Genomic DNA, 22,000 nt, shown 5'->3' on the forward strand with positions numbered 1-22,000 from the left:
GTGCTGGGATTACAAGCATGAGCCACTGAGCATGGCCCAATTTCATTTCTTATTTCTATAAATTCCATTTGGTTCTTTATCATACCAATAGTTTTTCAACATTAAGTAGGATATTAGCCTTTTATTTTTTAAGCAGCTTTATTGAGGTATAACTGACATATAATAAACTACGTATGTTTGATGTTTACAATTTGACAAGTTTTGACTATGTATACTAACACCACCACTACATTCAAAACAATGAATATATTCATCACCCCAAAAGTACTTTGTGCCCCTTTGTAATCCTTACATCTCGCCCTTCCTCACCCTGCCCAATCCACAGGCAACCACTCATCTGTTTCCTGTCATTATAGATTAGTTGGTAGTTTCTAGAGCTTTATATAAAAATAAAACTGACCCTCAAACAAAACACAGCTTTGAACTGCACAGGCCCACTTATATAGGGATCTTTTTTCAATAAAGTTACATCAAGTGTGCCTGTGTCTCCTGCCTCCCCTTCCACTTCCTCCATCTCTTCCACCTCTGCTACTCCTGAGACAGCAAGACCAAACCCTTTTCTTCCTCCTCCCTCCTCAGCCTAGCCAACATAAACACAACAAGCATGAAGACCTTTGGCCAGGCATGGTGGCTCACACCTGTAATCTCAGCATTTGGGAAGGCCAAACCAGGAGGAATGCTTGAGCCTAGAAGTTTAAGACCAAGCTAGGCAACATAGTGAGACCCACCTCTACAAAAATAAAAATTAAAAATTAGCTGGGTATGGTGGGGCTCGCCTGTAGTTTTACATGGATTTTTGGCTGCAGAGGCTGACGGCCCTAACCCCCACATTGTTTGGGGGTAAACTGTAGAAACATATTTTTTCTTCTGGCTTCCCTCTTTTAGCACAATTATTTTGAGAGATTCATCCATTTTTGTTGAATGTACCAATCGTATATTGTTTTATTGTTGAGTGGTATTTTTACTGTGTTGATAAAAGTGCCACTGCACTCCAGCCTGGGTGAGAGAACGAGACTCCATCTCAAAAAAAAAAAAAAAGATACACAAATGTTCTTAGCAGCATTATTTGCAGTTGCCCCAAACTACAAACAACCCAAATCCCATTAACTGCTGACTGGGTAAACAAATACTACATATTTAAGAAAAATTTGTACATAAATGGCCAGGCAGGGTGGCTCATCCATGTAATCCCAGCACTTGGGAGGTCGAGGCGGTGGACCACTTGAGGTCAGGAGTTCAAGACCAGCCTGGCCAACATGGTGAAACCTCATCTCTACTAAAAATACAAAAATCAGCCAGGTGTGGTGGCACATGCCTTTAATCCCAGCTACCTGGGAGGCAGAGGCAGGAGAATCACCTGAACCCAAGAGGTGGAGGATGCAATGAGTTGAGATCAGCCATTTATGTACAAATTTTTCTATAAACATAGTTAATCCTGGGCCTGTCTTAACCTGGGTTTACAACTAGATTTTAAACTACCACTAACATTAGGAATTGCCAGCCAAGTAATTAACACAGATGTAGCCCCAGGACTGTAATAACTATGGGGCACCAGGCAGAAGCTCTTATAGAATTGCTCAGGTGGGTTATACATTCAACCTAGGCCATACAAGATTTCCTCAGATAAAGCCCCGTTGAAGCTGAACTCACATTTTGGTATCACAGAATACATGAGGAAGACACTTTCTGAGTGAGAAGCAGTAGACTAGGAAACCCTAGGATTAGTTCTCTAAGAATCACACATAACAGAATTATTAAATAGAAACTTTACATAGTATGATTAGAGGTTTTAAAGCAAAAGAACAAAAACATGGTCGAAGAATAAGGCTATTAAAAAAGACTAGGTGGGAACTTCCTCTTCTAGTCAAGATGGAATAACAGAACATGGATTTATCTTCCCACCTGAAACAATTAAAAACACAGAAAAAAAGGTATGAAACAATGGTACTGAAGAAATTGGACATCGGTCAACAAAAGCCAGTGATCCCTGAGAGACAGGAAATAAATGAGGCAAGTCCTATGACTGCCCCACCTTAATACATGGAGAAAAAATTTTTTGGAAAGCAGTTTGTGTTTCTGAAAAATATTTAATGTACACTTAACATGTGATCCAGCCATTCCACTACTAAGTATTTACCCAAAAGAAATTAAACCAGAATTTCTCCACTCAGAGGCCTGGCTGAATGGGACCCAAGCTTCCTTGACATCTGTCTGTGCCAATGGGTGGATTTCTTTCCCCCAAGAGGGTATATCCCTTCAAGGGTCCCAGTTACATGCTGAGGTCTCTGTCCGATACCCCATCTTGCGTAGCCCAAGACCTAAGCTTCTGCCTCAACACGGACAATAAAACCAGAGCCCCTCGGCATATCCTTCTCAGCCCTTCTGAGCTGCTGCAGTGTCGGCTCATGTTTACTATTTTTATTTTCCTCTTCATTTTCAGCTCTTGGAATTTCCCTGACTTTCACATGAACTTAGGTTACTGGGTGGGTGGTGATGCTATTAATCAAGACATTATACTCAAAATACTAAGCAAGCATGAGTAGAATCAGAAGGCAATAAAATGGAAAAGGTGTCAGACTTTAGAATGCAAGTGTGGTCCTAATTGGCAAAAAGTTAAAAATTCCCACTCAACACATCCTAAAATACTCCTCTTCAGTTACTTACCTGCTGATTTCCAACCCATTGTATTTTTCCAACTGGAGTCTTATACTGGAATCACCGGTACAGACTGGAGGCTTTCAAACAATAACCCCTGGGAAGGAAGCTGACTAGACCTTACCCAAGGACAAAAGGGTTTAGATAAAAATTTGAGGCTTTAAAAAGTTGGAAAATCCCTTTTCTGTAAGATAGACCAAACTTTTTAAAAGTATAAAATAATTTAATTATTATCATTATTTTTTTGAGATGGAGTTTCACTCTTGTTGCCCAGGCTAGAGTTCAATGTTGTGGTCTCAGCTCACTGTAACCTCCACTTCCTGGGTTCAAGTGATTCTCCTGCCTCAGCTTCCCAAGTAGCTGGGATTACAGGCACCTGTCAACATGCCCGGCTAATTTTCATATTTTTAGTAGAGACGGGGTTTCACCTTATTGGCCAGGCTGGTCTCAAACCCCTGACCTCAGGTTATCCACCCACCCCCACCTCCCAAAGTGCTGGGATTAAAGGCATGAGCCACCGCACCTGGCCCAATACTTTAATTTTTTAAAAGAAATGATTCTACTATGAAGAAATACCTCTTTTTCTTATTTATTTATTTTTATTTTATTTTATTTCTTAGAGATAGGGTCTCAGTCTGTTGCCCAGGCTGGAGTGCAGTGGCATGACCTTAGCTCGCTGAAACCTGTAACTCCTGAGCTCAAGGGATCCTCCACCTTGGCCTCCCAAGTATCTAGGACTACAGGTGCCTACCGTGCCCAGCTAATTCTTAAAATTTTTTGTAGAGATGAGGTCTTGCTTTGTTGCCCAGGCTGGTCTCAAACTCCTGGCCTCAAACAATCTTCCTGCCTCGGCCTCCTAAAGTGCTGGGATTACAGGCATGAATCTCCGTGCCTGGCCAAGAAATAACTCATAATTTCCATTTTGTGCCTTCAATGTTTTTCTTACATAAGTTTTAACTGCAGCAGGAAAGAACTATGTAGAATAAAAGTGATATCTAGATTTCACACCAAGACTTGACTATGCGCCCTAAACAAAGTAACCCACCTACCTTTTTTCCTCTTAGGCTGTTCTGGTGATGAGGCTCCCGGTGAGTCTGCATATTTTTCTTGCACCTGCTGTGTTTCCATCACTTCAGGAATCCCATCTAATGTGACGGACACATGGGTGACTGGGGCAACAACCATGTCATCTTCAGGTGAACTAAATATATTATTATCTAATGAAAATAAAATCAACTAATTATAGTCCACTGTGTATTATAAGTTAAAAAACGATTGAGAAAATTTCTTGTTTCTATTATGACTAGAAGATTAAAGTAGAAATAAAATCTTGAAATCTATTCCTGCGTTTAAGTTCCCCTTCCCAAAATCAAATACCCTAAACCAGTCCAGGCACGGCGAGCTATTTCAATGTCTTTCTTACTTGACTTCCTATCACCAGTCTGTCTCATCTCTCCTCTTGATTATTCACATTGCTGTGAGAGTTATTTTCTGAAACCTAAGTCTGACCTGACCATAAAATTAGGGGAATAAAAAACAAAACTGACATACCTTTCCATAGTTCATAGGAAAAACAAAAAACAAACAAAAAAATAATCACAACCCATCTCTATAGCATGCCTTACAAAGCTTCTGTAATCTAGTTCCAAACCTACCTTTCCAATCTCATTTCCCACCCACCATGAAGCTTACACTTCAACCACACCAAAACATCTTGATCTCAAAGATTTCATTCATTTTTTTTTTAACAGATCTGTGTCTTGTATCTTTAACTCCATTCCCTCCAGCTTGAATGACCTTTCATGTCTCTTCTACCTATTAAAAGCTTGTCATTTACAGCCCAGGTCAGAATACTCCTTCAATGAAGCCAGTCTCTGATATTCTCAGCTAGAATACCCACTGCTACTAGAGCAATTCGCTATCACTCTTGTGGCCTTTATTCTTGGCTTTGTAGTTATTTACATAAGTAACTGTCTTCAAAATTAAACTGTAAGCTTGAGGAAAGGAACAGTATCTGCTCATTTGTATCTCATGTTATTGCCTAATTATTGCTGCTGTGAATATAGCAAATATTGAATAAACATTTTAGACTGATTTAGCAATAATTTACTTTATGAATTTGATTGCTTGTCAGAAAAGCCCAAAGGAGAACAGGAATTTTAAAGCAGATCAATAATGTGGCAGTGAATTTTATGCCATGATGTGTCAGTAAAATTTTCAATAGATTGTTGCCTATTTGCTGATAACTACAGAGATGACTAAATTATAATCATTTGGGCCCTTGATACCCTAATACTCTCATCAATATGTTAAGAGAAGAAATTCTGCATGATCTTCTATTTGGTAAGTAATAAATTACATTTTTTTGTTCCCAAAGGCTTCATTCTCAAATTAAAATGTCATCTTTAACTCTACGTTTTTGCAAAGGCACCTCAATTCCTACTATACCTTAAAATGTGATTGTAACAAAAAATATATAACATCATTTCTAATCTCTTGATTTTACTAATAAAGAAAGATGGCAAGAGTAACTTAACAAAGTACATAAACATAAACAATCATAATCACTCACTTATTCGTTTTTCATCCAGCATAGGGCCAGGGGAATCCATATTGAGGAGTGCCTCAGCAGCCTCAATAGTTTCAATTGTTTCATCCCCGTCATGACAAGAAGCTTCAACTGCAACACATTTAAAGAGAAAATTAAATTAACTACGAGACATCTGTTACTCTGAAAGTCATACACCGCTTATCTCTAGAACCAGAATACATCATTTAATATTTTAGTTTATATATATATATAAACTATAAACACACAAAATCATACCAAACCTGGCTGGCGCAGTGGCTCATTCCTGTAATCCCGCACTTTGGGAAGCCGAGGCAAGCAGATTGCTTGAGGTCAGGAGTCTGAGACTGGCCAACATGGAGAAACCCTGTTTCTACTAAAAATACAAAAAATTAGCTGGGCGTGGTGGCACGCACCTGTAGTCCCAGCTACTCAGGAGAGTGAGATAGGAGAATCGTTTGAACCCAGAAGGTGGAGGTTTCAATGAGCTGAGACTAAACCACTGCACTCCAGTCTGGGTGACAGAGTGAGACTCTGTCTTAAAAAAAAAAAACAGAAACTATTACATTAAAAAATCAATATTTCCTTAATATTAAATAGCCAACCAGCATTCAAATGTTCAATTGTGTTAAAAAATCATAAATGGTGGCAGTGCAAGGAAAGACAAGACAGTTTTTTGCTTAAATCAAATTAAGTCTGCATATTGCAATTGACTGATACATTTCTTAACTTTCTTTACATTTCTGAGTTGCCATTCATCTGTCTAGCTTTTTTTACTTTGCAATTTATTTGTTGAAGAACTCAGGCTGTTTATTCATGTAGAATTTCCCATAGTTTGGATTTTGCCAACTATATTCCTATTGTGTAGCTTAACATGTTTTTCTATACCCCCTCTAACTGAGTAGTCATATCTGGAGGCTTGATGAAATTCAACTTTAATTTTTTTTGGCAAGACTAAAAAAAAATTTATGTATTTTGATGACAGCTCAAAATATAATCTAAGCCTCAAATTTCATAAAATCATTAAATCTTTTTGGTTTTGCTTTTTTTTTTTGAGACAAGGTCTTACCCTGTCTCCCAGGCTAGAGTGCAGTGGCTCAATTATAGCTCACTGCAACCATAAACTCCTAGGCTCAAGCAATCCTACCACCTCAGCCTCCCGAGTAGACAGGACTACAGTCTCAGGCCACCATGCCCAGCTAATTTTTAAAATTTTTTTAGAGACAGGGTCCCGCTATGTTGCTCACTTGAATTCCTCAAGCCAGGCCTGAATTCCTCAAGCCAGGCCTTGAATTCCTGGGCTCAGGTGATCCTCCCTCCTTGGCCTCCCAAAGTTCTGGGATTACAGGTGTGAGCCGCTGCATCTGTTCAAATATTTTTATTATGAAAATTTTAAACAAAATAAAAATTGTGGAGTATAGTATATATAATGAATCCCCATGTGCCCATTCCTAGCTTCAACTATTATCACCAAATGGCCAATCTTCTTTCATCCATACCCCACTCACTGCCCTCAAGTCCTTACCCTCTGTACAGGATTATTTTGAAGGAATCTAAAATACCATATTTTATCTCTAAATACTTTAGCATGTGTATCTAAAAGATGTCTAACACAATACTACTATCATATCTTAAATATACTAACAATAAATCTTTTTTTTTTTTTTTGAGACAAAGTTTCAATCTTGTTGCCCAGGCTGGAGTGCAATGGTGTGATCTTGGCTCACCGCAACCTCTGCCTCCCAGATTCAAGCGATTCTCCTGCCTCAGCCTCTTGAGTAGCTGGGAATACAGGCATGTGCCACCATGCCCAGCTAATTCTGTATTTTCAGTAGAGACGGGATTTCTCCATGTTGGTCAGGCTGGTCTTGAACTCCCGACCTCAGGTGATCTGCCCGCCTCGGCCTCCCAAAGTGCTGGGATTACAAGTGTCAGCCACCGTGCCCGGCCTACAGTAATTCTTTAATATCATCTATTATAGGCTGAATGGTATCCCCCAAAATTCTATGTTGACATGCTAACCCCCAGTACCTCAGAATGTCTTTAAAGAGATAACTGAGTTAAAATGAGGTTATTAGTGTAGGCCCTAATCCAATATGGTTAGTGTCCCTCTAAGATGAAATATGAACACTGGCAGGTACAAAACATAAGACCATGTGAAGACACTGGAAGACAAGTCACCTATAAGTCCAGAAAGAAGCCTCAGAAGGAATTAACTCTACCAATATCTTGATCTCAGACTTCTAGCTTCCAGAACTGTGAGAAAATAAATTTCTCATTTGAGCCACTCAGTCTGTGGTACTTTCTTATGGCAGTCCTAGCAAACTAACACATCATCTGAAGCGCCACCTAACACGTGTAAGAACAAAAATGTCCTATCCTTATCTCTTTCTTCCCCTAGAGCTTCTCAAAGGCTCCCCGTCACCCCCACTGTGGAATAACGAAGATTACAAGGTTCTTCCCTTTTTCATGACATTGCTCAGAAAAGGATGGAAGAGTTAAACAAAGCTTTGGTAAGTTGGGAGGTAAGGCAAAGGGAAGAAAAAACACAAACAGAGAATCTGGTTTCCTCTCTGAGAACTAATGCCTTCCCTGATGACTAGAACTAGGAAGAAACACTCCTTCCGGAAAGACATTGGTCCTCAACTTACAAAGACTGTAGCCTTACCCTAAGGCTTTAAAAGTTATATCAGGATACACTGCTAAACCCCCACTAACTACAAGCCCAGATACATGCATAGTGGTGTTTATTCTGTTACACATACAGATCAGACAGCAATGAATAGAAACTTCTAACCTGATTAGTCCAATTCCCTCACTGGTAAGGGAAAAGTAACTCTAGATTCAACAAAAAACTTTTATTGGTTTGCTCTGAACAAAAAATGTGAATACATGCAAAAAATGCTTTGTTAAAAAAAAGGGAGTGATATGGCTTGGATTTGTCCCCGCTCCAAATCTCATGTTGAATTGTAAACCCCAATGTTGGAGGAGGGGCCTGGTGGGAGGTGACCGGATCGTGGAGATGGATTTTCCCCTTACTGTTCTTGTGACAGTGAATGAGTTCTCATGAGATCTAGTGGTTTGAAAGTGTGTAGCTCTCCCTCTCCCCACGGTCTCCCTCTCCCCACGGTCTCCCTCTCCCTCTCTTTCCACGGTCTCCCCCTGATGCCGAGCCAAAGCTGGACTGTACTGCTGCCATCTCGGCTCACTGCAACCTCCCTGCCTGATTCTCCTGCCTCAGCCTGCCGAGTGCCTGCGATTGCAGGCGCGCGCCGCCACGCCTGACTGGTTTTCGTATTTTTTTGGTGGAGGCGGGGTTTTGCTGTGTTGGCCGGGCTGGTCTCCAGCTCCTAACCGCGAGTGATCCGCCAGCCTCGGCCTCCCGAGGTGCCGGGATGGCAGACGGAGTCGCGTTCACTCAGTGCTCAATGGTGCCCAGGCTGGAGTGCAGTGGCGTGATCTCGGCTCGCTACAACCTCCACTTCCCAGCTGCCTGCCTTGGCCCCGCAAAGTGCCGAGATTGCAGCCTCTGCCCGGCCGCCACCCCGTCTGGGAAGTGAGGAGCGTCTCTGCCTGGCGGCCCATCGTCTGGGATGTGAGGAGCCTCTCTGCCTGGCTGCCCAGTCTGGAAAGTGAGGAGCGTCTCTGCCCGGCCGCCATCCCATCTAGGAAGTGAGGAGCGTCTCTGCCAGGCTGCCCATCGTCTGAGATGTGGGGAGCGCCTCTGCCCTGCCGCCCTGTCTGGGATGTGAGGAGCGTCTCTGCCCGGCTGCCCCGTCTGAGAAGTGAGGAGACCCTCTGCCTGGCAACCGCCGCGTCTGAGAAGTGAGGAGCCCCTCCGCCCGGCAGCCACACCCTCTGAGAAGTGAGGAGCCCCTCCGCCCGGCAGCCACTCCGTCTGGGAAGTGAGGAGCATCTCCGCCTGGCAGCCACCCCGTCTGGGAGGGAGGTGGGGGTCAGCCCCCCGCCCGGCCAGCCGCCCCGTCCGGAAGGGAGGTGGGGGGGTTAGCCCCCCACCCGGCCAGCCGCCCCATCCGGGAGGGAGATGGGGGGGTCATCCCCCTGCCCGGCCAGCTGCCCATCCGGGAAGGAGGTGGGGGGGTCAGCCCCCCGCCCGGCCAGCCGCCCCGTCCGGGAGGTGAGGGGCGCCTCTGCCCGGCCGCCCCTACTGGGAAGTGAGGAGTCCCTCTGCCCGGCCAGCCGCCCCGTCCGGGAAGTAGGTGGGGGGGTCAGCCCCCCACCCGGCCAGCCGCCCCGTCCGGGAGGTGAGGGGCACCTCTGCCTGGCCGCCCCTACTGGGAAGAGAGGAGCCCCTCTGCCCGGCCAGCCGCCCCGTCCGGGAGGGAGGTGGGGGAGTCAGCCCCCGGCCTGGCCAGCCGCCCCATCCGGGAGGGAGGCGGGGAGGTCAGCCCCCCGCCCGGCCAGCCGCCCCGTCCGGGAGGGAGGCGGGGGGGTCAGCCCCCCGCCCGGCCAGCCGCCCCGTCCGGGAGGTGAGGGGCGCCTCTGCCCGGCCACCCCTACTGGGAAGAGAGGAGCCCCTCCGCCCGGCCAGCCACCCCATCCAGGAGGGAGGCGGGGAGGTCAGCCCCCCGCCCGGCCAGCCGCCCCGTCCGGGAGGGAGGCGGGGGGGTCAGCCCCCCGCCCGGCCAGCCGCCCCGTCCAGGAGGTGAGGGGCGCCTCTGCCTGGCCGCCCCTACTGGGAAGTGAGGAGCCCCTCTGCCCGGCCACCACCCCGTCTGGGAGGTGTACTCAACAGCTCATTGAGAACGGGCCATGATGACAATGGCGGTTTTGTGGAATAGAAAGGGGGGAAAGGTGGGGAAAAGACTGAGAAATCGGATGGTTGCCGTGTCTGTGTAGAAAGAGGTAGACGTGGGAGACTTTTCATTTTGTTCTGTACTAAGAAAAATTCTTCTGCCTTGGGATCCTGTTGATCTGTGACCTTACCCCCAACCCTGTGCTCTCTGAAACATGTGCTGTGTCCACTCAGGGTTGAATGGATTAAGGGTGGTGCAAGATGGCTTTGTTAAACAGATATTTGAAGGCAGCATGCTCGTTAAGAGTCATCACCACTCCCTAATCTCAAGTACCCAGGGACACAAACACTGTGGAAGGCCGCAGGGTCCTCTGCCTAGGAAAACCAAAGACCTTTGTTCACTTATCTGCACTTATCTGCTGACCTTCCCTCCACTATTGTCCTGTGACCCTGCCAAATCCCCCTCTGCGAGAAACACCCAAGAATGATCAAAAAAAAAAAAAAAAAAAAAAAGAAAGTTGGAAAGGCTTCAGGATTGTCAGTTAAATATAATTGTTTTTGCCTGGGTCTACTGACAGGTTTACATCGTCTCTATTACTTTTTTTTTTTTAATTTGTTTTTTGTTTTTGAGCTGGAGTTTTGCTCTCATTGCCCAGGCTGGAGTGCAGTGGTGAGATCTCAGCTCACCACAACTTCCGTCTCCCAGGTTCAAGTGATTCTCCTGCCTCAGCCTTCCGAATAGCTAAACTACACGTGTATGCCACCATACTTGGCTAATTTTTGTATTTGTAGTAGAAACAGGATTTCACCATGTTGGCCAGGCTGGTCTCGAACTCCTGACCTCAAGTGATCTGCCCACCTTGGCCTCCCAAAGTGCTGGGATTACAGGCATGGGCCACTGTGCCCAGCCTATTACATGTTTTAAGGTCATAAAACTGCTACTTCTGGAATATTTCTTAAACTTGCTTGATTTGTGTAAGGTCTGGCTGCTGGGCTCCCTGAAACCTTGCACATATCTTACTGTATGACTGTATTTCGTTTTGAGTCTCTGGATTCTGGGGTTTGGACAGATGACCATAGTGAGGCCTGCAGAAATATGCATGTCCTCAGTGTTTGGACTGCCAGCTGCAAGGCAGAGCCAAACCCAATATGGCCCCATCATCCCTGGCTCAGCTGTGCTACCTGGCCATGCTGGAAGGGGTTTGATCTTCCAGGAATTTGCTTCACAGCTCTTTCCTGTCCCAAGATCTATGCCTGATGTGTAAATTCAGGACCCAAAAGGGCACAAAAAAGCAATAACTACTAAATATAAGGAAAACAACTCTGTATACAGCATGTATAAAGAAAAGCAAGATATATTTGGGGAGATAAAAGTTGTAAAGGCATTAAGATGTGTGTTTGTTGAGAAAAAATAAATTTGTGCATTTAAAAAAAAAAAAAAGAAAAAAAAGAAAGTGTGTAGCACCCCCTACCACCCTGCCTTCTGTTCCTCCTGCTCCAGCCATGTAGGATGTGCCTGCTTCCCCTTCGCCTTCCACCATGATTGTAAGTTTCCTGAGGTCTCCCCAGCCATGCTTCCTGTACAGCCTGCAGAACCATGAGCCAATTAAACTTCTTTTCTTTATAAGTATTACCCAGTCTCAGGTAGTTCTTTATAGCAATGTGAGAAGTGACTAAAACAGAGGACAACACAAAGATGAGGTATTGACAACCAATGTTAACAGTGGGGCCTCTCCCCCACCAGATGGATACAGTCATTCTACCTTTCCCCGATTTAAAACATTACTGTATCATATGTTAACTTCCTAAATAGATCAGAACCCGCCTTTAGACTTACTATTCAGTTCTAAGGCATTGTGCTACATGCTAAGGTAAAGCTGAGAACAAGGCAGCCCCAGTACTTGCCACTATGAAATCTACAGATATACCTCATCTTGCCTATTTCTGATAAACTTTCTTTTACGAATAAAGATGCAAATATTTGCTTCCAAACAGTTTTCTCAAATATCCACAACATCCCTGGCCAAGATATATGACTGTAAATGAACAAAAAGAGAAAGCATGTACCAATTTCTAAGTGATGAAAGTATTATTACTACAATCTCACATTTATGTAGCCTAATCTTCAAGTTTAAAATATCTTACTAGTTCTGACTGAACCAGAAAAGAAATCTATAAATCCCAGGACCTTATCGTACATTTGGGTCATGGCCCACCATTTTGCTTCCTGTGGCAGTGGTAAGAAAAGAACATTCCTCTCTCTTTCCCTACAAAACAACTCATTTTGTTCACAGGAATACGGAGGAAGGCATATAAGAAAGTACTCAGTGAGCTGGGTGGGGTGGTGCATGACTGTTGTCCCAGTTACTCAGGAGGCTAAGGCAGGAGGATCACTTGAGCCCAGGAGTCCAAGTCTAGGCTGGGCAATACAGTAAGACTCCATCTCTTAAAAAAAAAAAAAACTGCTCAGTGAAGACTTGATGAATTGAGGTTTGGTTCCTTTTAAATGCCTCTTATTTTGTCACATTCATCTCAATATATTTAGGAAAGGAGAAATGGGAGATGACAAAACAGTACTAAATCCAGCAGATGAAACAGAAAATGTAATTTTCTTCTCCATGTAGGGCTGTAGTTTCTGAAGGTAATACAGTTTAAAACCAAGTTAGGGGCGTTTTATGCCCCCACATCCTCAGGATTAGGACACTGCCTAAAGCTGTGCTGCAGCAAGGTCCTACTGGATGGAGACACACGCACCTGTAAGGGTGATGTCATCATCATCATCGTCTATGATTTCTTCTTCAGCAACATCCAGTGAACTCTCAGTAATCATGTCATTGGGCTCTTCCACACAGGCTAGACCGGCATAACTATTGAGAATATCAGCACCAGGAACATGTTCCACAATTACGGCAGGAAAAATAGCTGGATCACCAAGCTGGGAAGGGTTAGGGAGAGGAAAATGAAAACAAAGGATTAACACAGTTTTGCTTTTGTTAAATAATGCTCAAAACTATTTTATACTAGCCATCAATTTAATTTTTAGATCATCAGGCTGTATCTCTATAATCTTTCTAGGCATTAGGTAATTTGTATCTATTACAACCAAATAATGGCATTAAAATTTAAAAATGAAGGCTGGGCGCGGTGACTCACACCTGTAATCCCAGCACTCTGGGAGGCCGAGGCAGGCAGATCACGAGGGTCAGGAAATCAAGACCATCCTGGCTAACATGGTGAAACCCCATCTCTACTAAAAATACAAAAATTAGCTGGGCACGGTGGCATGCACCTGTAGTCTCAGCTACTAGGGAGGCTGAGGCAGGAGAATCACTTGAACCTGGGAGGCGGAGGTTGCAGTGAGCCGAGATCGCACCACTGCACTCCAGCCTGGGTGACAGAGTGAGGCTCCTTCTCAAAAAATAAATAAAATAAATAATAATAATAAGATGCCATTAATGCATAAGCATGAACCAAGAAGTGACATACAAATAAAATGTTAATTAAATCAAATCTCAATAAAAGTTTTTTGGCAAAACAAAAAAATCTGTGAGCTTAATATTACACTGTCGCTTGGCACAAAGGCTGTGTTTTAACAACAGCTTTTGACTTAAGTGGGAAAATTAACCCTCATTTTCTATTATTGTTCTTTTCAAGTATGGCTATATTAAGAGTATAAACTATTACTCCTAATGTCTAGTTATAATATCACAGAATTTTAGAATGGAAAGGACCCATACAATTTAATGTAAGTCAGCTACCTCATTTTATAGATGAGGAAACTGACCCAGAGAGGGTTTTTAACAACCTACTAAAAACTCAGTTAATTAGCGGCAAACCTCATTAAGATACTACTTCCTTTATCATTTTGAGATAATCGCAGACTTATAAAAGTTGCAAAAACAGCACAAATAATTCCCATACAACCTTCACCCATATTCCCTCAGTTCTAACATTTAACCACATCTATTTATCATTCTCTACCTATATTGTTTTCTGATGTGTTTGAAAGTGTTAGACATATTGCTTCTTAATCCTACTTTGTGTTAATTTCCTAAATATAAAAATACTATCTAATATAAAGACAGCATAATTATCAAAACTAGGAAAATAACATTAATACAATACTATTATCTAATCTTTAGACATTATCCAAATTTCTAATTGTCCCACTAATGTCCTTTTAAAAAGTTAAAAAAAAATCTTTTTTGGTTATAGGTTTCCTTTAGTAAATATCATGTTTCTTAATAACTCCTTTAACCTGGAACAATTTCTTTTCCTTTAATCTGAGAAGTTCTTTGCTCTTTGTCTTTCACAATCTTGACACTTTTGAAGAGTACAGGTCATCTGTTTTGTAGAATGTCTACCAATTTGGGTTTGTATATTTCCTTATGATTAGATTCAGTTTGCATTTTTGGTAGGAATACCAAAGAAATAATGTTATGTTCTTTCAAATATATCATGTCAGGGGGTCCAAAATACCTATTTGTCCCCCCATTGCTGGGGATATTAATTTTTAATATATATTTATGTTCATACTATTGAGACAGGGTCTTGCTCTGTTGCCCAGGCTGGACTCGAACTCCTGGGTTCAAGTGATCCTCCCGCATCTGCCTCCCAAATAGCTGGGACTACAAGTGCATGCCTCCATGCCTAGATTAATTTTGATCACTTAGTTAAGGTAGTATCTACCAGGTTTCTCTATTATCAAGTTACTAATATGTATCTTGTGGGAAGTTAACTCAAAACTATGTAAATTTTATGTTTCTTAACTAAACACTTCTCTATAAAGAATCTTCTCTTTTTCTTTGAGATGGAGTCTTGCTTTGCCGCCCAAGCTAGAGTGCAGTGTGGCGATCTTGACTCACTGCAACCTCCGCCTCCCAGGTTCAAGCCATCTTCTTAAATGTAAGAAAAAGTTCCTGCTCATAGATAATAATGCCAGGCACCTTGCTATTTTCCTTAAGTAAGTCTGCTATATTCAAAATATTATTTATGGTTTCATTGCAACTAAGCAGCCTCAATCTTTTAAAATTAATGTTTACAAAACTACACACTGAGGTTAGACATTACTTCTGTCATAATAATTTAATTACCTAAATTAAATACACATTGTAGGTGCTAAACAGATAATATCCTTGCCTTCGAGAATGCTATGTTCTGAAATTTATGGTTAATAATCCTAAAACACATTTGGATCGTTTTATTTCAAAATCTTTCTTCCTGTTTTAGAAAAGAGGAAGCTAGCTAGAAAAGTAACTGGCTCTTCAAATAGTAAAACAAATTTTAAAACAGAAACTAGGAGGCTCAAAAATTATACTATAGAAGCCAGGCCTGGTGGTATGTGCCTGTAGTCCCAGCTACCTGGAAGGCTGAAACAGGAGGATGGCTTGAGCCCAGGAGTTCAAGGCTGTCCTGTGCTACAATCCCATCTGTGAATACCTACTGTACTTCAGCCTGGGCAACACAGCAAAACCCTGTCACTGAAAAAAAAAGAAAGAAAAAAATTATACCGTAACTCACATAAATACACTTCACACACCTTAAAGAAAAGTGTAGCTAGCCTTCCCTTTCCCTTTTTTGACAGGTAAATTGTAGACATGCAATCCCACCTAGCATAAACATGGACTTGTTAAAACACTTTTCCTTTTCTTCTCTTCTAAAAGCTCAATTAAGCTCCTGGTCTTCTAACAAGGCTTAGTCCAGAATTAAGCACTTTTATGCTGCAAAAACCCATGTACAAGGTAGGAACAGAGCTCATCACTTCATCCACTGATAAGTCAGAGACAGGCGTGTAAAATGCAATTCACAGGAGCAGTTCTCACCCAAATGAAACCAAAGTATTCCTCCCTAACCAAATCTATTTGGCTCCTGTAGCTTGGGTAGAGAGTGCTAATGTGTACATAACAAGGGATACTTCCAAATTTTTGAGTCTATACAGTTCTTGAGTTTTGGTTAACCACAGATACTTGTTACTACTTTATTCCTTGTCCTGTTCTACTAACCAGTAGTTACTCTATTCTCCAGAATTCTCCTTTATAATCAATGTCACTTCTACCACAGTGCCCTTCCCAGAGGCAATCACTGCTACCAATTTCTTTGTTCTGTTACTGTACAGACAGTAAATGTACAGTCAGGCATACTCCAAATTGCTTTAAACAATCATAATTAAATTCAGTTTAAATTTAATAATTTTTAAACTATTTAATAAGGAAAATTTCAAACACACAAACGTCAAGAGAAAAAAACGTTTCCTTTGAAGCAAAAGGTTTATTAAGAATGAAAAGTAGTTTTGAAGTCTTTGGGATTAAAAAAAGAGAGTGGCCAGGAGTGGTGGCTCATGTCTGCAATCCCAGCACTTTGGGAGGGCAAGGTGGGTGGATCACTTGAGGTCAGGAGTTCGAGATCAGCCTGGCCAACACGGTGAAACCTTGTCTTTACTAAAAAAATACAAAAAATGAGCCAGTCATGGTGACGGGCACCTGCAATCCCAGCTACTTAGGAGGGTGAGGCAGGGGAATGGCTTGAACCTGGGAGGCGGAGGTTGCAGTGAACCAAGGTCGCACCACTGCACTCTGGCCTGAGTGAAGAAGACTGTCTCAAAAAAAAAAAAAAAAAGAAGAAGAAGAATGAAAAGAGACACATGGTTCTGTGATTTAGAAGGCAGCCACATGTAGCAGAAAAGAAAAACTGGGAACCAGGAGACCTAGGGCCTTCTCCAACCCTGATTTCATGACCTTATTTTCTGAACCTTTAAATGAATGAAGAGCACCAGTTGATCCTACAGGCCCTTCCAGGTTTTGCTTTGTTAATATTTTGAATTCATGGATTCTACTGTCTGAGCTTATAACATTTCACGAGAAGAGATTATTCACTCTTACACACTAAAATGGGAGAGTAGCATGCACTGTGGCCACATAGCTGCTGCCATTGCTATTAACCAACATTTAATATGCACGAGACATTTTGCACATTGCTTTACGTGAATTATCACTCTATTTAATCATCACAAAATGCTATGATGGAGACACACTGGACTATCCATTTTACACATGAGAAAACAGAGGCAAGGGAAATAATCTACTCCAAGTCATAAACCTAACTTGAACTGACTCCAGGGTCCATGTCCTTTACTTATACACTATTGTAGTCAGCTTTAAACATAGTAGATTTGTTCTGCTGGCATACTTACTTGGCTCTGTTTAGAAAACCAGAATAATTAAGGAGCTGTGTTTGAGGTGGAGGTATGAGTTTCACTATTATTTCCAAGGCTTCACCAATCAGAGTCTATAACAAAATTTCTCATGGGAATAGCCAGTTCTTCTTGGTCAGCAGGGCACTTCCCAGGATCACTCCTAATTTAGTCCTACAGCCTTCTCCTTCTGAGGTACTTGCTTTTATCATGAAAGGCATGGTCCATTCTTTTCTAGTCCACTGACATGGGATGTATATTCAAAGTTGTTCATCTCTCGTTTCCCCAGGATGCTATTAATCCATATATAAGAAAGAGACCAACTTCAGATTTTCATAAGAATATGAATAGTTAGGTGCTGGGCGCAGTGGCTCACGCCTGTAATCCCAGCACTTTGGGAGGCCGAGGCGGGCGGATCACGAGGTCAAGAGATTGAGAACATCCTGGCCAACATGGTAAAACCCTGCCTCTACTAAAAATACAAAAATTAGCTGGGCATGGTGGCATGAGCCTATAGTCCCAGCTACTCAGGAGGATGAGGCAGGAGAATCACTTAACCCAGGAGGCAGAGGTTGCAGTGAGCCAAGATCGCACCACTGCACTCCAACTTGGGTGACGGAGCAAGACTCCGTCTCAAAAAGAAAAAAAAAAAGAAAGACTATGAATAAGTCAGGTAAGAGGCTTGAATCTGTATATACAAAATACATTTAGGAAACACCTCTCAGGTGACTAGAAAGATTCTTCCCACTCTACTACCATAAATAGAAAAAAAATGCACACTCCTGAAACTCCAGCTGCTGATCTGGGCTCATGATGAACTGCTTTGTAAACTGGATTGACCAGTAACTGGCTAAAGTATGAGTCATCAAGAACCTAAGAACTCTAGAACCACACATTCTACAATTCCTTCTAGAGAACTGCTTCCCTACCTTTTAAAGAAATAGTAAAATTTCAAATGCTGAATTTTCCTAGGTTTAGATTTTCAAAACAAATAAAATATTGGGACTTATATTAGTTTGCTACGGCTGCTGCAACAAAGTACTACAAACTGGGTCCCTCAGCAGAAATTTATTTTCTCACAGTTCTGGAGGCTAAAAGTCTGAAATCAAGGTGTTGGCAGGGCTGGCTCCTTTTGCAGACTGTGGGGGAAGGAACTGTTCCAGGTCTCTCTCTTTGACTTATAGATGGCTGGTCTTCATGTTTACATGGGCTCTGTGTCCAAATCCAACTCCACTCACCCCCCGACTTTTTTTAATTGAGACAGGATGGAGTGCAGTGGCGTGATCTCAGCTCTCCCTCTGTCACCTAGGCTGGAGTGCAGTGGTGCAATCTCAGCTCACCATAACCTCTGCCTCCCGGGCTCAAGCGATCCTCTCACCTCAGCCTCTCAAGTAGCTGCGACTACAGGCATGCACCATTACGCCTGGCTAATTTTTGGATCTTTTGCACAGATGGGGTTTCTCCATGTTCCCCAGGCTGGTCTCGAACTCCTGAGCTCAAGCGATCCACCCAACTCGGCCTCCCATAGTGTTGGGATTACAGGTGTGAGCCACCGCACCCAGCCCAAATTTCCCCTTTTTATAAGGACACCAGGTAGTGGAGTAAGGGCTCCCCTCTCCTGTAGTGTAACTTCTTTACTAATTACATCTGCCATGACCCTATTTCCAACAACCAAATAAGGTTACACTCTGAGGTACTAGAGGTTAGAACTTCAATATATGAATTGGTGTGTGGGTGTGCACGCAGGCACAATTCAACCAATAATAGGACTTAATTTAATTTGGTTTTAAGTCTGTCATTTAACAATTTGTTCCCTCTGCCCGAAATAACTTGTATAAACTAGTCTTTTCATTGTTTCTAAATTGAGATTGGATATTACTCTTCAGGTTTCTTTGCTGAAGATCATCAAATCTTACCCACCTCAATTTTTTCCACACCATTTCAAACAGACCCTTTCCCAAGATTTATTTAAAAGATGGGCTTCAGGAAGATAGCAGATATTCATAAAATAGCCACACTCCTAATAGTAAGCAATAAGATGTTACCTACTTTTAAGAAATGAAGGTGTTGGCCGGGTGCAGTGGCTCACACCTGTAACCCCAGCACTTTGGGAGGCCGAAGCGGGTGGATCACCTGAGGTCAGGAGTTCGAGACCAGCCTGGCCAACATGAAGAAACCTCATCTCTACTAAAAAATAAAAAAATTAGCTGGGTGTGGTGGTGTGCACCTGTAATCCTAGCTACTCAGGAGCCTGAGGCATGAGAAGCTTGAATCTGGTAGGCAGAGGCTGCAATGAGCCCAGATTATGCCACTGCACTCCAACCTGGGTGATAGAGCAAGATTTCATCTCAAAGAAAAAAAAAAAGAAATGAAGGTTTCAATGCTTCTTTGATGCCTTAACAAAAACATTACATTCCATTTGACTGGCTGCTACTTTAAAAAATGACCTTCCAAACCTTCCAAACACTTCTAAAAACTCTCATCATTTAAATAATTAGATTAAGCATCTTTTCTTTTATTTGCATCATGAAATCTAATTAAATTCTACTGGTGCTTATCAATTTTCGCTGTACAGTGGGAAACATTTAAGAATATCAATATTTGACCCCACATGGGATAAAATAAATCAGACTATCTGGGGGTGTGACCAGAGCCTAATATTAAAGCTCCCCAGGTGGGTCCAATTTGCATCCAGGCTTCAGGACCACCGCTCTGAAGAATGACAACATTCAAAACTGCATTCCCTAAGTTGAGTCAGCTCTAATTATTCTTGCTAAGATCTGGGATATTAGTAATTCAAACAATTACATTTTTATATTATTAGATCTTTTGCTATTTGTCACTTGCAGATTATTTTCCCCTTTGGTTTTTGAACAGAACCAAAATAAACCACAAACCATGGGAACAAGAGAGGGAAGATCTCCTGGAACTAAAATCTATCAAAGATCAGGGTTTCCAAAGCTTCAATATCTAGAAGCAAATTACTGCAGTGATAAAGTAATTTTCAATTGTTTCATAACTTTCTTGAAGGTCTTAACAGCTCCAAAGAGATTTCCCCTTTCTATTAATTATAGATAAATTTAGGATATATGTTGAAAGCAAAATTTCAGCAAACATTTTTGGAGCAATAATAAAATTCAAACCAAGTTTTAGCAGAAGAGAGTCACAGTTCCCCAAATTTCAACATTGTCCACGATATAGTTTCCACTTGTGGTTGATCACGTATGTGGCAATACCATCAAGTTAAAAAGAGAAGGAAAGCGACCAATGTAAGCAGGACATTATGTGACTCCCCTAACTAGGCTTGCTTGTTCCACATACCACAATCCAAGGTCCTATGTGGATATTTCAGAAACCATGAATCATTATTCCAACTTCATTAATAATTTTGTTCATCAAGTTTTTGGGTATCAAAAAGCACAAGAACTTTCATATAACTTGTTTACCAAGTTTCTCTAATAGCAGAACTCAATCTGGTATATGGTGATTGTGAAACATCCCATCAAAATCCTCTCTAAAATAGCTTAAAATGAAATACCTACAAAATATTTTCCCAAAACAAAAAGCAAGTTAAATTTAGTCTCTAGCATTTTTCCAAAGCAGACACTACTTTTTAAAGACAGGTGCAAAATGAGCACACCTTCGAGTAGTTCACGCAACATCTTTGCATCAAGGCAAGAAAACACCAAGAGGGGTCTGGTGCCTTACTCCTCCCACAGTCTTCAACAGCTCCCCTGACTCCAAAGCCTGTCCAATAAGCACACAAATTAAACACTGCACTTGCTATGAAAACACATCTTTGAGACAAATCCCTGTGCCCAGCCTTCAAATCAGACTGAGGCCCCAAAGCCTTATCCTATGAAGACACTGCTTTGAGGACTTCTGAATTATTCTTGAAATCACTTCCTTTTACATTTGATTTAAAAAACAAAAACCCAGCACCTTACTCTATTACAACACGATCTGACAGTACCTTACCATGCAGCAAATGCACTACATACACACATGGTGAACAGGGTGTAACAGTAAAAACTCAGGTTCTTATTTAAGGTAGGACTCCACCATGGCCTGGGTATTTGAACTCATGCAAGTTATCCAGCCTCTCTAAGCTTTAGTTCCTACATCTATTCAAAATAAGAATAATAGTATCTTCTGGAATTGTTGTAAGAATAATGTGTAAATAAATCATTTGTGATAATGCATGGCATATAGTAAGCAATAAATAAAATGTTTTGATGATTAAAGCCCTTCAATATTTGATACGGATAGAAATAAACACTCTCAAAAACTGACTTACTACAATCTCACATGGACAGGCATGGTTTTGTTTTTATTTTTTTGAGACAGGGTCTTGCTCTGTCGCCTCGCTGGAGTGCAGTGGCGTGATCACAGCTCACTGCATCTGTGAACTCCTGGGCTCATGCAATCCTCCTGCCTCAGTCTCCCAAGTAGCTGGGACTATAGGCGTATGCCACCATGTCTGGCTAATTTTTTTTTTTTTGTAGAGATGAGGTCTCTCTATGTTGCCCAGGCTGGTCGCAAACTCCTAGGCTCAAGCAATCCTCTCCTGCCTCGGCCTCCCAAAGTGCTGGGATTATAGGTGTGAGCCACCATGCCTTGTCCTTTTTGTTTATTAATTATTTTTTGCTTTATTTATTATTTCTTTTGCTTTCTTTAACCTTTAAGCTTTGTTGGGATTTGATTTTGTTTTATTTTTAATGAGAATAGTCTTTTCAAAACATAGGTGAACAAACCTTAACCATCCACACTTAGCAACAACATTTAGCTTCAACTAAAAGCAAATGTTGATACATATGTGTGTTCACTTTGT

General features: G+C 42.0%; 1 protein-coding gene across 13 annotated transcripts in view; it reads right to left on the reverse strand.

The window, feature by feature from the left end:
* The window catches only part of ELF1 (E74 like ETS transcription factor 1), a 129,468-nt gene that overhangs the window by 14,183 nt on the left and 93,285 nt on the right, over positions 1-22,000 (reverse strand). For 11 of the 13 annotated variants that reach the window (NM_001370330.1, XM_047430118.1, NM_172373.4 and 8 more), the window contains 3 exons: positions 12,735-12,915; positions 5,228-5,335; positions 3,705-3,872 (listed from right to left, as the gene is read on the reverse strand). In NM_001370330.1, coding sequence (NP_001357259.1) covers positions 3,705-3,872; positions 5,228-5,335; positions 12,735-12,915 — 457 coding nt within the window. Of the gene's footprint in view, positions 1-3,704; positions 3,873-5,227; positions 5,336-12,734; positions 12,916-15,341; positions 15,461-22,000 lie in introns of all 13 variants that reach the window. The other 2 variants (NM_001370329.1, NM_001145353.1) reach the window with 2 other exon arrangements.

This window comes from Homo sapiens, chromosome 13 (genome assembly GCF_000001405.40).
Source record: "Homo sapiens chromosome 13, GRCh38.p14 Primary Assembly".
NCBI lineage: Eukaryota > Metazoa > Chordata > Mammalia > Primates > Hominidae > Homo > Homo sapiens.